The 14,734-nt window shown below is 37.9% G+C and overlaps 1 protein-coding gene across 1 annotated transcript in view, besides 3 other annotated features; it reads left to right on the top strand.

The window, feature by feature from the left end:
* Nucleotides 1–14,734, top strand: part of PGAP4 (post-GPI attachment to proteins GalNAc transferase 4) — a 60,517-nt gene that overhangs the window by 9,439 nt on the left and 36,344 nt on the right. The gene's annotated exons all lie outside the window — the stretch shown is intronic.
* Nucleotides 9,625–10,134: an enhancer, noted in NCBI's record as "NANOG-H3K4me1 hESC enhancer chr9:104276396-104276905 (GRCh37/hg19 assembly coordinates)". NCBI's record gives its function as "activates a minimal SCP1, AML or CMV promoter by ChIP-STARR-seq in primed H9 embryonic stem cells {active_cell/tissue: H9 hESC(primed)}" and the evidence as "EXISTENCE:reporter gene assay evidence [ECO:0000049][PMID:30033119]".
* Nucleotides 10,135–10,643: an enhancer, noted in NCBI's record as "OCT4-NANOG hESC enhancer chr9:104275887-104276395 (GRCh37/hg19 assembly coordinates)". NCBI's record gives its function as "activates a minimal SCP1, AML or CMV promoter by ChIP-STARR-seq in primed H9 embryonic stem cells {active_cell/tissue: H9 hESC(primed)}" and the evidence as "EXISTENCE:reporter gene assay evidence [ECO:0000049][PMID:30033119]".
* Nucleotides 10,644–11,154: an enhancer, noted in NCBI's record as "OCT4-NANOG hESC enhancer chr9:104275376-104275886 (GRCh37/hg19 assembly coordinates)". NCBI's record gives its function as "activates a minimal SCP1, AML or CMV promoter by ChIP-STARR-seq in primed H9 embryonic stem cells {active_cell/tissue: H9 hESC(primed)}" and the evidence as "EXISTENCE:reporter gene assay evidence [ECO:0000049][PMID:30033119]".

Raw genomic sequence — 14,734 nt, 5'->3', positions numbered from 1 at the left:
GACAACCTGCATGACTCAGCAGAGGCATCCATAATCCTCATAGGTACATAACTCCACTGATCTAGTGTGCTAAGGACCCTCACGGAGTCCATTGCACACCCGCCCCCCAACCTCCACCAGAAAAGGCGCTAGTGTCCATGACTGAGAGACCCATAGACAGTTCACATCACAGCACTCTTGTGCAGACAACCCCCAGTACCAGCCCGGAGCTGGGTAGACTCGCTGGGTGCCTAGACCCAGAAGAGAGATAACAATCACTGCAGTTCGGCTTGTAGGAAGCCACATCCATAGGAAAAGGGGGAGAGTACTACATCAAGGGAACACCCCATGAGACAAAAGAATCTGAACAATAGCCTTCCACCCTAGACCTTGCCTCTGACAGAGCCTACCCAAATGAGAAGAAACCAGAAAACCAACCCTGGTAATATGACAAAACAAGGCTCTTCAACACCCCCAAAAAATCACACTAGTTCACCAGCAATGGATCCAAACCAAGAATAAATTCCTGATTTACCTGAAAAAGAATTCAGGAGGTTAGTTATTAAGCTAATCAGGGAGGGACCAGAGAAAGGCGAAGCCCAATGCAAGGAAATCCAAAAAAAAAAAAAAAAAAAAAAAAAAAAAAAAAGATACAAGAAGTGAGGGGAGAAATGTTCAAGGAAATAGATAGCTTAAAGAAAAAAAAACAATGAAAAATTCAGGAAACTTTGGACACATTTTTAGAAATGTGAAATGCTCAGGAAAGTCTCAACAATAGAATTGAACCAAGTAGAAGAAAGAAACTCAGAACTCAAAGAAAAGGTGTTCAAATTAACCCAATCCAACAAAGACAAAGAAAAAAGAAAAATATGAACAAAGCCTCCAAGAAGTCTGGAATTATGTTAAATGACCAAAACTAAGAATGAATAATCAGTGTTCTGAGGAAGAAGAGAATTCTAAAAGCTTGGAAAATATATTTGGGGGAATAATCAAGGAAAACTTTCCTGGCCTTGCTAGAGACCCAGAAATCCAAACACAAGAAGCACAAAGAACACTCAGGAAATTCATCGCAAGTCATCAGGTTATCCAAAGTTAAGACGAAGGAAAGAATCTTAAGAGCTGTGAGGCAGAAGCATCAGGTAACCTATAAAGGACAACCTATCAGATTAACAGCAGATTTCTTAGCAGAAACTCTACAAAGCTAGAAGGGTCTGGGGTCCTATCTTCAGCCTCCTCAAACAAAACACTTAACAGCCAATAATTTTGTGTCGAGTGAAGCTAAGCATCATATAGGAAGGAAAGATACAGTCTTTTTCAGACAAACAAATGCTGAGAGAATTTGCCATTACCAAGCCACCACTGCAAGAACTGCTAAAAGGAGCTCTAAATCTTGAAACAAATCCTGGAAACACAACAAAACAGAACTTCTTTAAAGCATAAATTACACAGGACCTATAAAACAAAAATACAAGTTAAAAAGCAAAAACAAAACACACAAAGTACTCAGGCAACAAAAACATGATAAATGCAACAGTACCTCACATTTCAATACTAACATTGAATGTAAGTAATGCTCCACTTAAAAGATACAGAACTGCAGAATGGATAAGAACTCACCAACCAACTATCTGCTGCCTTCAGGAGACTCAACTTACACATAACGACTCACATAAACTTAAAGTAAAGACGTGGAAAAAAGGCATTTCTTGCAAATGGAAAGCAAAAGTGAGCAGGGGTAGCTATTCTTATATCAGACAAAACAAACTTTAAAGCAACAGCAATTAAAAGAAACAATGAGGGACATTATATAATGGTAAAAGGCCTTGTCCAACAGGAAAATATCACAATCTTAAACATATATGCACCTAACACTGGAGCTTCCAAATTTATAAAACAATTACTAATAGACCTAAGAAATGAAACACACAGCAACATAATAATAGTAGGGGACTTCAATACTCCACTGACAGCACTAGACAGGTCATCAAGACAGAAAGTCAACAAAGAAACAATGGATTTAAACTATACCTAGGAACAAATGGACTTAAAAGATATATACAGAACATTTCATCCAACAATCGGAGAATATGCATTCTATTCAACAGTGCATGGAACTTTCTCCAAGACAGACTATATGATAGACCATAAAATGAGCCCCAGTAAATTTAAGAAAATTGAAATTATATCAAGCACTCTCTTGGACCACAGTGGAATAAAACTGAACATCGACTCCAAAAGGAACCTTTGAAACAATGCAAATACATGGAAATTAAATTACCTGCCCCTGAATGAGCATTGGGTCAAAAATGAAATCAAGATGGAAATTTAAAAATTATTTGAAATGAAGGACAATAATGACACAATCTATCAAAACCTCTGGGATCCAGCAAAGGCAATGGTAAGGGGAAATTTCATAGCCCTAAATACCTACATCAAAAAGATCAAAAGAGTGCAAACAGACACTCTGAGGTCATACCTCAAGGAACTAAGAAACAAGAACAAACCAAACCCAAACCCAGCAGAAGAAAGGAAATAACCAAGATCAGAGTAGAACTAAATGAAATTGAAACAAACAAACAAAAAATACAAAAGATAAATGAAACAAAAAGCTAGTTCTTTGAAAGATAAATAAAATTGATAGACCATTGGCAAGAATAACCAAGAAATGAAGAGAAGATCCAAATAACCTCACTCAGAAATGAAACAGGAGATATTACAACTGACACCACTGAAATACAAAAGATCATTCAAGGCTACTATGAACACCTTTATGCACATAAACTGGAAAACCTAGAAAAGATGGGTAGATTCCTGGAAAAATACAGCCCTCCTAGCTTAAATCAGAAAGAATTAGAAACCCTGAACAGACCAATAACAAGCAGCAAGATTGAAATGGTAATATAAAAATCACCAACAAAAAAAAGTCCAGGACCACATGGATTCACAGCAGAATTCTACCAGGCATTCAAAGAATTGGCACCAATCCTTTTGACACTATTCCACAAGATAAAGAAGGAACCTCCCCTAATTCATTTTATGAAGCCAGCATCACCCTAATACCAAAACTAGGAAAGGACACAACCAAAAAAGAAAACTACAGACTGATATCCTTGATGAATACAGACACTAAAATCCTTCACAAAATAGTAGCTAACCCAATCCAACAACGTATCAAAAAGATAATCCACCATGATCAAATGGGTTTCATACCAGGGATGCAGGGATGGTTTAACATGCAGAAGTCAATAAATGTGATACACAACATAAACAGAATTAAAAACAAAAATCACATGATCATCTCAATAGATGCAAAAAAAGTATTCAACAAAATCCAGGATCCCTTTATGACCAAAACCCTAAGCAAAATCAGCACACAAGGGACATACCTTAATGTAATAAAAGCCGTCTGTGACAAACTCACAGCCAACATAATACTGAATGGGGAAAAGTTGAAAGCATTCCCTCTGAGAACTGGAAAATGTCAAGGATGCCCACTCTCACCACTCCTCTTCAACATAGTACTGGAAGTCCTAGCCAGAGAAATCAGACACGAGAAAGAAATAAGGGGCATCCAAATCGGTAAAGAGGAAGTCAAACTGTCACTGTTTGCTGACGATATGATCATTTACCTTGAAAACCCTAAGGACTTCTCCAGAAAGCTCCTAGAACTGATAAAGGAATTCAGCAAAGTTTCTGGATACAACATTAATGTACACAAATAAGTAGCTCTTCTATACACCAACAGTGACCAAGTGGAGAATCACATCAAGGACTCAACCACTTTTACAATAGCTGCAAAAATAAAAATAAAATAAAATACTTAGAAATATACTTAACCAAGGATCCAAAGACCTCTACAAGGAAAATTATAAAACACTGCTGAAAGAAATCATAGATGACATGAACAAATGGAAACACATCCTATGCTCATGTGGATAGAATCAATATTGTGAAAGTGGCCATACTGTCAAAAGCAATCTAACAATTCAATGCAATCCTTATCAAAATAACACCATCATTCTTCACAGAATTAGAAAAACACAATTCTAAAATTCATATGGAACCAAAAAGGAGCTTGTATAGCCAAAGCAAGACTAAGTAAAAAGAACAAATCTGGAGGCATCACACTACCTGATTTCAAACTATAAGGCCATAGTCACCAAAACAGCACGGCACTGGTACAAAAATAGGCACATAGACCAGTGGAACAGAATAAAGAATCCAGAAATAAAGCCAAATACAGTCAACTTATCTTCAACAAAGCAAACAAAACATAAAAGCAGGGAAAGGACACTCTATTCAACAAATGGTGCTGGGATAATTGGCTAGCCACATGTAGGAGAATGAAACTGGATCCTCATCTCTCACCTCATACAAAATCAACCCAAGATGGATTAAGCTCTTAAACCTAAGACCTGAAACCATAAAAATTCTAGAAGATAACATTGGAAAAACCCTTCTAGACATTGGCTTAAGGAAGGATTTCATGACCAAGAACCCAAAAGCAAATGCAATAAAAACAAAGATAAATAGCTGGGACCTAAACTTATAATTTTATATATATATGTGTGTGTCTGTGTGTGTATATATATGTATGTGTGTATATATATATGTATGTATATATATACATACATATACATATATATAGTAAATAATAAATTAAAGAGCTTTTGCACAGCAAAAGGAACAGTCAGCAAAGTAAGCAGACCACCCACAGAGTGGGAGAAAATCTTCACAATCTGTACTTCTGACAAAGGATATCCAGAATCTACAACGAACTCAAACAAATCAGTAAGAAACAAACAAACATGGCCAGGAATGGTGGCACATGCCTGTAATCCTAGCACTTTGGGAGGGGGAGGCAGGTGGATTGCCTGAGCTCAAGAGTTCAAGACCAGCCTGGGCAACACAGTGAAACCCCGTCTCGACTAACATACAAAAAAATTAGCTGGGCATGGCAGTGTGCACCTGTAATCCCAGCTACTCAGGAGGCTGAGGCAGGAGAATCGCTTGAACCCAGGAGGTGGAGGTTGCAGTGAGCGGAGATTGCACCATTGCACTCCAGCCTGGGTGACAGAGCAAGACTCCATCTAAAAACAAAACAAAACAAAACCAAACAAAAGTGGGCCAAGGACATGAATAGGCAATTCTCAAAAGAAGATATACAAATGGCCAATAAACATATGAAAAAGTGTTCACATCACTAATGATCAGGGAAATGCAAATCAAAACCACAATGTGATACCACCTCACTCCTGCAAGAATGGCCATAATCAAAAAATCAAAAAAACAGTAGATGTTGACGTGGATGTAGTGAACAGGGAACACTTCTACACTGCTGGTGGGAATGTAAACTAGTACAGCCACTGTGGAAAACAGTGTGGAGATTCCTTAAAGAACTAAAAGTAGAACTACTATTTGATCCAGCAATCCCATTACTGGGTATCTACTCAGAGGAAAAGAAGTCATATGAAAAAGATACTTGCACACGCATGTTTATAGCAGCACAATTCACAATTGAAAAATTGTGGAACCAACCCAAATGCCCATCAATCAATGAGTGGATAAATAAATTATGGTATGTATATACAATGGAATACTATGCAGCCATAAAAAGGAATGAATTAACACCATTCGCAGAGACCTAGATGAGACTGGAGACTATTATTCTAAGTGAAGTAACTCAGGAATGGAAAACCAAACATCGTATGAGAATATTGTATGAGAACATTCTCATCATATGAGAACATTCTCACTGATATGTGGGAGCTAAGCTATGAAACACAATGGCATAAGAATCATACAATGGATATTGGGGACTTGGGGGGAAGAATGGAAGGAGGGCGAGGGATAAAAGACTACAAATATGGTGCAGTGTATACTGCTCGGGTGATGGGAACACCAAGATCTCACAAGTCACCGCTAAAGAACTTACTCATGTAACCAAATACCACCTGTACCCCCAATAACTTAGGGAAAAAAGATCGATGGACTGGATAAAGAAAATGTGCTACATATACACTATGGAATATGATGAAGCCATAAAAAAGAATGAAATCATATCCTTTGCAGCAATATGGGTGCAGCTGGAGGCCATTATCCTAAGCAAATTAACGCAGGAACAGAAAACCAAATACTGCATATTCTCACTTATAAGTGGAAGTTAAACATTGAGTACACGTGGACACAAAGATGGAAACAATAGACAATGAAGACTGCTGGAGGAGAAAGGGAGGGAGGAAGGTCTGAGGGGTGACCTATTGGGTGCTGTGCTCACTGCCTGGGTGATGGGATCATCCATACCTCAAATCTCAGTGTCACACAGAGTTCCCATGTGACAGACATGCACATACATCTCTTGAATCTAAAATAAAAGTTAAAATTATTTTTAAAATAAATACATAAAATAGTGAGCTTTATTGCCACTATTAAAAGACAACCCAAACCCTTACAAAAGAGAAGCTAAATAGAGTCTGGCTTAAGCTTCCGTGGAAGTCACAAATCCTGGGAAACATACAGCTCACAGCAGTCACTGAGCTGTATACCACACCTCCAAAACAAAAGCTAGGGCCCCAATAGTAACTTACACTAACTGTATAGTCTCTCCTGTCCTACTCATTGCCTCCCCCAACCCAACAACCATCATCTTGAATCACATGTTTGTCATTCCTTTGCTTTTATTTTTATGTAGTTTTCTTGTATCTAGATGTACCCCTCTAAAAGCACATATTTGATTTTAGTTGCTTTTAACTTTGCGTTTTTAAAACTTGATATCTTATTTTCCTGCTAATGAAACAAAAAGTTTAGCATGTTCTCACATCCTTTCCTTCTCCCTCTCTTCTCCCCCACCCCATTAGCTTGTTATAATCTAGATATTTAATTTTATGTGATATAGATATATTTTCCATTTTTCTTTGGTCTCAAATATTTTTCCAAGCAACAAGAAACACTATTTGATCACCTTTATTTCATAAATTTCTTAGAACACAACATCTTCTTTGTCATTGATTTTCTTTCTTTTTTTCCCATGTCATTGCTTTTCTCATTTCAGCAGCTCATCTGAAATTTGTCTTCACTTTGGAACTTGGTGAGGTAAAGCTTCTGAAATCTTATATACAAACAGTCCTCATTAAGCATAATTCTGATATATGCAAATTTCAGTTACTGCAATTTAGTTAAATAACAGCAGACTCTAACAGCAATGGTTCAATTTCAGTATATAGTTATTATAACTGTGATTAATTACATAAAATAAAAATTTTGCCCTTCAGTCTTCAATCAGCATGTAAATAAGAGATAGATCATGAGCAGTGACCATCCACACCACTCTTTCAAAGTCTGTTGGCGATCAGTCACTGTGCATCTGTTAATCAGGTCAAGTGACAAGAGCAAAGCATGTAGCTGTGTTGCCTCATTGTCTCCCAGTGATAACCAACCTCATGTGATGTTTTTGCAAAAATGGATAATCAAATGAAGGAACTGGCTAACAAAGATGAATTGCAAAAGAAATAAAAAGTGTTAAGTCTGAAAGTGAAATTGGATGTAATTATAAGATTTGAAAATGGCAGCAGCAAAGCAAAAGATGAGAACTAGGTCTGCAGGATGGTACAGTATGAACCATGTTGAAAATGTCTGATAAATACAAAAAATAAGATAAAGTCATATCAACATATTTTAATTTAAATTGCACCATTTAACAGAAAGCCACTTATCATTGAAATTGAGCATTTACTTCTACTTTAAAGATTTAACAAACAATTCCAATCATTTGGCAAGAATTCATGGCAAAATGTGAAATTAGTTACCACATGGAAAACAAACAGTAATTACAAGGAGAATGAAGATAAAGTCTGATTTCACCATTTCAGAAATTAGCGTGAATTGATTAATGTTAAACTATCTGGTGAAGCTACTATTGCAAATAAAAATGTTGCTGTAAAATCTGCACTCAGATTCTGAGAAATAGTTAAGGCAGATGGTTATAATGATCAGCAAATATTTATATTGATGAGACAGACTTTTTTTGGAAGGGAATATCATCACGAATTTAGGCAAAAAAAGAAAGAATCACAAAGTGGCCAATAAGGAGTAAAATAGATTAACTTATTTAATTAGGAGGTAATTGATACACCATAATTTATATGAAGTAAAGAAAGCAAGCATTATTCAAACTACTCTTGATACTTTTTAATTATGATTTTTAATTGACAAATCATAATTGTATTTATAAGAGACAATGTGATGTTTTAATAAATTTTACCATGTAGAACCACTAAATCAAGATAATTAACATATTCATCACCTCACCCATTTTTTTTGTGGTGAGACACTTGAAATTTACTTTATTAGTTATTTTGAAATATGTTATACACTATCATTAACTAGTCACCCTACTATGCAATAGAACTCAAAATTTATTCCTCCCATCTATCTGAAACTTTATATCCTTTAATCAAACAATTCAAAGATATGAAAATATCATATTCTTGATATTTTTCACAAAGAAATTTGTTAATTCTCAATGTTTCTAAGATTTAAATCATAATATACTAAATAAATACTAGTTTTACTATTTTTTTCATTTCCTAATACATTTATGAATAAGAGTTTTTAATATTTTGACAAAAATTTCTGAAGGGCATGGAACAATTCCCAGTTTTCTGATTAATTATTAATATAGCTTTGCATGGTTTCAGCAAAACCTTTTTAGTCCTGCATTACCATGTAAACTGAGGAGTGCCTATACTTGGAAACATTTTTACCATGCCTACACATCTGAATAACAGTTTGCTGGATATAAAATTCTGGATTCCAAGTTTTCTTCCTTTAATAATTTGAAAACCTTATATGGCAAAAGGGTCTTTGCCGACGTGATCTTCAGAAGGGGAATTATCCTGAATTATCTGGGTGGGCACTAAATGTAATCACAAGGGTCTTCATAAGAGAGAGGCAAAAAGGCCAAAGAAGAAAGAGGTGATGTAATAACAGAGGAAGGGGAATGAAAGGTGACATGAGTGGGATGATGCCCAAGGATGCAGCAGCCTCTAGAATGCAAAATAAGCAAGGAATGGGTTCTTCTTCACAGACTTCAAAAGGAGCAACTCTGCCAACAACTTAATTTTAATCCATAACACTCATTTTGGACTTCTGACCCCATGAATTTTAGGAGAATAAATTTGTGTTGTTTTGAATCTGTAGTGATTTGTTACAACAGCAGTAGAAAACTAACATAGCACTCAACAAAGATTGACTGGAAAGTTGAATGAATGTAAAATAGCATCACATATATGTACATCCAAATATAACACCGCTCAGCTTCCCCTCCTCAAAGCAGAAACTTAGAGCCAGTTGAAGTGTCCCCTGGTTCTTTTGAGGAGTTCCCAACAGATCCTATATACATACCACATCAGTATAAAGTCATGATGAGGGAAATGGTTCACACCTGATCAACTATAATTCAGTTTGTTCCATTTTTGGCTCTGATCAGTGACTCAAACCTAGTTGAGTGGGTAGGATGAGAGAGGTGCCACCTTATTCCCTTTAGTTTCCTCCTTCTTTTCTTACACTCTGCCCCCAACCCAACTCCTCTGTTCTCCTCTACTTGCAAAAGAAAAGCCATAGCATTTCAATAGATGCAAACACACACTGGTGGGAAATTTTGGTGAGATAATTGCCAACTTCAAACAGCCAAAACTGTCCTTTTACATGCACACACACGCACACAGGCACACATACACACATGCACATGCACATGCACATGCAAACATACAAAATGAGAGACAGAGAAAGGACCACAATGATGTTTAATCTGACTTATAAAATTTTGATTTTCTTTCTGCTTTACTATATTGTTATTTTTCCACAGTGAGAATAAATCATTTGTAAGATAAGTAAATAAAACTTCGAAGCAAAATATTTTAATCAGTTAAACCTATTTTTAGAAGGACTATGGAGTTGCTGCCAAGAGCTAGACAAAAACATGAGAGACACGAAAGGAATGTAGATTCCAATCATTGCAGCAAAGAGGCTGAATACAGAGTGATGGAAGTTAACTAATGTGATGGCTAATTTTATGTGTCACCTTGGCTGAATTAAGGAATACCTAGAGAACTGGTATAGCATTACCTCTGGCTATCTGTGAGGGTGTTCCCAGTGGTGACTGGCATAAGAATCAGTGGACTGAGTGGGGAAGATTCACCTTCAATGTGGGCAGGCACCATCCAATCAACTGGGGGCCTGAATAGAACAAAAAAAAAAAAGAAGAGAAAAGAACTTTCTCTTACCCTCTCCTAGAGCTGAGACAGTCTCCTCCTGCCCTTGGACATCAGAACTCCAGGCTCTCCAGATTTGGAACTCCAGGACTCACAACAGTGGCCTCCCAGGTGCTCAGGGCTTCAGCCTTGGACTGAGAATTACTCTATGGGTTTTCCTGATTCTGAGGCTTTTGGACTTGGAATGAGCCACAATATTGCCATCCCAGGGTCTTGAGCTTGCAGAGAGCCTGTTGTGAGACTTCCCTGTCTCCATAATTATGTGAGCCCATTCCCCTAATAAATCTCTTATCTATCTGTCTATCTATCTACCTATCTGTCCATCCATCCATCCCATTGGTTCTGTTCCTCTAAAAATCCTAATACAGCTGCCAACTCAAATTAGGCAACTAAAACTGTTGCTAAGAGGCATGTGCATTACAATCCTCAATCAATAGAGTGGCATTGTAGCTACAACAGGGCACTTAGCACATCTGTGGGAGGTGATGTCCTTGTTTCATCATGTTCTTTTGTTAAAAATTCAAGTGTGTGGAGTGACAGGTCTGACTGTTCCTAGATTCAGAATGTTAGTTTGGGCTAATCAAAGTTTTACTGTGATAAAAATAGATTAGAACATATTTTGGACTTACCCAAAATGGTGCCTGCTTTTTGTTTTTTCCTCTTTTGTAAGGTTGGAAGAATCACAAGATTAGGTGATGGTTAGAGGGCAGAGAGGACCATAACACCATTTCCAGTGTCCTCTCACCTTTAGGTTTATGAGCAATTGCAGATACTTCATTGCGGACAATGAAGAAAATCAAAGGTGGTCAGGCAAGATATTAGCCACTGCTCAGCACACAGTCTGTATGTGTCTTTGATAAAATGTTTGTGGTATTTTGGTAAAGTAATAGTTTTAACAAAGTAAGGGTTAAAATTTCTTATAAAAAAAGATGTTTCTGCCTATGACTAGTGACAAATGCAGCAATAGGATTTACTTGTTCAATGACACTGAGGTTTCTAGGAAATTTGCATGGTTAATGCTACTATAAAATTCAGCTCCCAAAGTGTCAAAGAGTCAGCTTCCTAAAAAGGTGAGTCAATTTGTGAAACCTTAGAGAATAGCTGGGAAACACTCAAACTCTTTGAACGTGGAAAATCCACTGAGATGCTTTTACTTTCTTTGCTCCTTTAAAAAAAATTGAATGCAAATATTTCCCCCTTAAATCCACGGAGAGGAAATGAGTAGAAACCACATTGATGAAAGCTATTGTCAGGGTTCTAGTTTCATGTTAGGTGGTGGTTTTAACAATGTGTATTATTGTTGTTGTTGTTGTTATTGTTAATAGATAGAAGTCCCTATATAGACATTTGATAAAAGCATATCATGAATCAAGAATCATGATTAATCTCTTCATGTATCCTGTTAAAAAACAAAATTTCAACCAATTTAGTTTAAATGTCTAATTGGCTTTTACTAGTGATTCATGAATCAGTCAGCCTCCCATGTAAAAATAGAGGGAAGCTCCACTGGACATGGCAGAACAGTCAGTTTTGTGAGATAGCTTGAGCAAGAACAAGGAAACAGAAAAACACAAAAATAAATGTGGATTGGTTAACATCAGGTTACTTCAGGTCACTTTCTTTGTAAGGGTTAAAGCAGAGAGCATGTTGGCTCAGGGTAACTGGGCCCTTTCTGATTGGCTGCTGTGAATCTCGTATTTTTAGGAAAAACTGGCCTTTGGGACGGGCAGGGCGGGGTGAGGATTATCTTGCTTCCTTAAAGTTGCAGTTTGATTATGTGGCAATCAGCATGAGTGACTGCATTTTGGTTTGGTCTGTTGGGGTCTAGCAGAGGAGCTCAATCCAAAACAATGGCTTCCTGTATATTTTATTTAACAAACCCCTGCTTTTGGTCAGGCTCTCACCCAGGTGAGACTTAGGGCATCAGTGCTACACTCAGTGATCATCATTCTGGATTTTCAGTCTCAACACATTATTCACAGGTTAGAGTGTCCTCATTATTACACATTTCTTTGAGTTTTTGTCATTCTGGCTGGAGAGAGACTATTTGGCATTGGGTGGATGACTGCATGCAGGAATTTAAGACTTTTGAGAGCATGCACCAGGAAGACTATCCCATCCTAGGTCTGACCCATCCAGAAAACATACAGACTATAGCAAGTACATCTTGATAACCCATACTTGGTAGGAGTTAATTGAAATCTAATTATAAATGCTCAGATGGGCCTGATGGACAGGAGTCATCCCAGGAAGAACAGAAACAGACTTTCCTGGCTTCAGAGGTTGACCGATTAAGCACTGATTATAAATAATGTTTGCAATTTTATAATGGTTTCCTCACCAATACCTACTGATTCTTTGTATCATCTTACCAATACCATTATGGATAAAGAAATGTAAGGAGCCTAACAAAGGTCCCTTAAGGAAGCCTGGGAACACCATATAACCCTCTTCATTTTCCCACAGTTAGGAAAAGAAATTAAAATAGCATCCCACTCATTGACAATATTCTTTTTCATGCTTAGAAGCACTTTGTTGTCCATAGCCAACAGTATCTGGGTTTAAAGAGGCAAAGTCAGGTAGCAGGAAATGTGCTTTATAGCAGGGATCCCCAACCCCTGCTTAACCGGTCTGTGGCCTGGGGTTTGGAGACCCCTGCTATAAAGCATGCTCCCTGCTACCTGGACTGGTAACAGGTCCTTGGCCTGTTAGGAACTGGGCCACACAGCAGGAGGTGAGTGGCAGGTGAGCAAGTGAAGCTTTATCTGTATTTAAAGCCACTCCCCATCACTTGTATTACCACTTGAGCTCTACCTCCTGTCAGATCAGCAGCAGCATTAGATTCTCATAGGAATAAGAACCCTATTGTGAACTGCACATGTGAGGGATCTAGGTTTCATGCTCCTTATGAGAATCTAATGCCTGATGATCTAAGGTGGAACTGAGGCAGTGATGCTAGCGCTAGGGAGCAGCTGCAAATACAGATTAACATTAGCAGAGAGGTTTGACTGCACAGAGACCATAATAAATCAATTGCTTGTAGACTCATATCAAAACCCTATCAGAGAGTGGCAAGTGACAATTAAGCTGCATCTGGTGGCAGGCTTTATAGTGGAAAGTAAGTTGAGGTACTTCAATTGTATAGCTGCATCTGGTGGCAGGCTTTAAGTCAGAATCTGAGACTTATTTTAGTCCACGTGTGGCCCGCCCGTTATTTTATTCATCACTGCTGTCCGTGACTCTTTCCCGCATTGTGTACTTGTCACAGTCACAGTTTTGGTAAGCCCACATGCTAACCATAGCCAAAATGAGTAAAAAACAAACGTCAATGGAGAGCTTCTTTGAAAAAGGGAAAATACCCAATTATGAAACAGCAGAAGACTAAGACTGTGAGCAAAAAGAAAGCTCCATTTAAAAGAAAATACCAAGTGTCCTACTTAAATTACAGGTCTATTGCAACAGGTGAGTCACATTCTCCAAGCCCACTATGTATAACATATGGCAACTGGCTATCCAACAAAGCCATGAAACCTTCAAAACTGCTTCACCACATAGAGACAAAGCACCCTGCATTAAAAGGTAAGCCTCTGCAGTTTTTCAAAAGAAAAAAAAAACATGAACATAACGAACAGAAGCAATTATTGAAGGACACCGCTTCATCAAATGTGTCTGCACTCAGAATAATTCTTGGTGGCTAACTGCACTGCTAAAGCTAAGAAGCCCTTTACTATTGGTGAAGAATTGATCCTGCCTGTTGCTAAGGACATATATCATGATCTTTAGGACAGACTGCAGTTCAAAAGGTGGCATGTGTTCCTCTTTCACCTAGCACCATAACTAGATGAATTGATGAAATAGCAGAGGATACTGAGGCACAACTGTTAGAGAGGATGAATGAGTGGCTGTGGTACACAATCCAGGTTGATGAGCCTACTGATGTTGACAACAAGGCAACAATGCTTGTTTTTGTGCACTATATTTTTCAGGAGGATGTGCATGAGGATGTGTTATGTGCACTTTTCGTTGCCAACCAACACTATGGCTGCAGAACTATTCAAGTCTTTGAACGATTACATATCAGGAAAACTGAAATGGTCATCTTGTGTCACATATGCACAGATGGAGTGGCTGCCATGACTGGACGGCTTTCTGGTTTCACTACTAGGGTCCAAGAGGTTGCTTCTGAATGTGAGTCAGAAGCACCGTGTCATCCATAGAGAAATGCTTGCTAGCTGCACCGTGTCATCCATAGAGAAATGCACCATGTCATCCATAGAGAAATGCTTGCAAGCTGAGAAACATCACCTGAACTTATCATTTTGCAGCATGTGATTAAAATGATCAACCACATCAAAGTACATGCCCTTAACTGATGTCTGTTTGTGCAGCTCTGTGAGGAGATGGATGCAGAGCACACAGGCCTTCTCTTATATACAGAAGTGAGATAGCTTTCTAAAGGTAGATTGCTGGCCAGAGTTTTTGAA

Source organism: Homo sapiens, chromosome 9 (assembly GCF_000001405.40).
Source record: "Homo sapiens chromosome 9, GRCh38.p14 Primary Assembly".
NCBI classification, from domain to species: domain Eukaryota; kingdom Metazoa; phylum Chordata; class Mammalia; order Primates; family Hominidae; genus Homo; species Homo sapiens.
The sequence above is the reverse complement of the archived record's forward strand: the minus strand, read 5'-3'. Positions and strand labels throughout refer to the sequence as shown.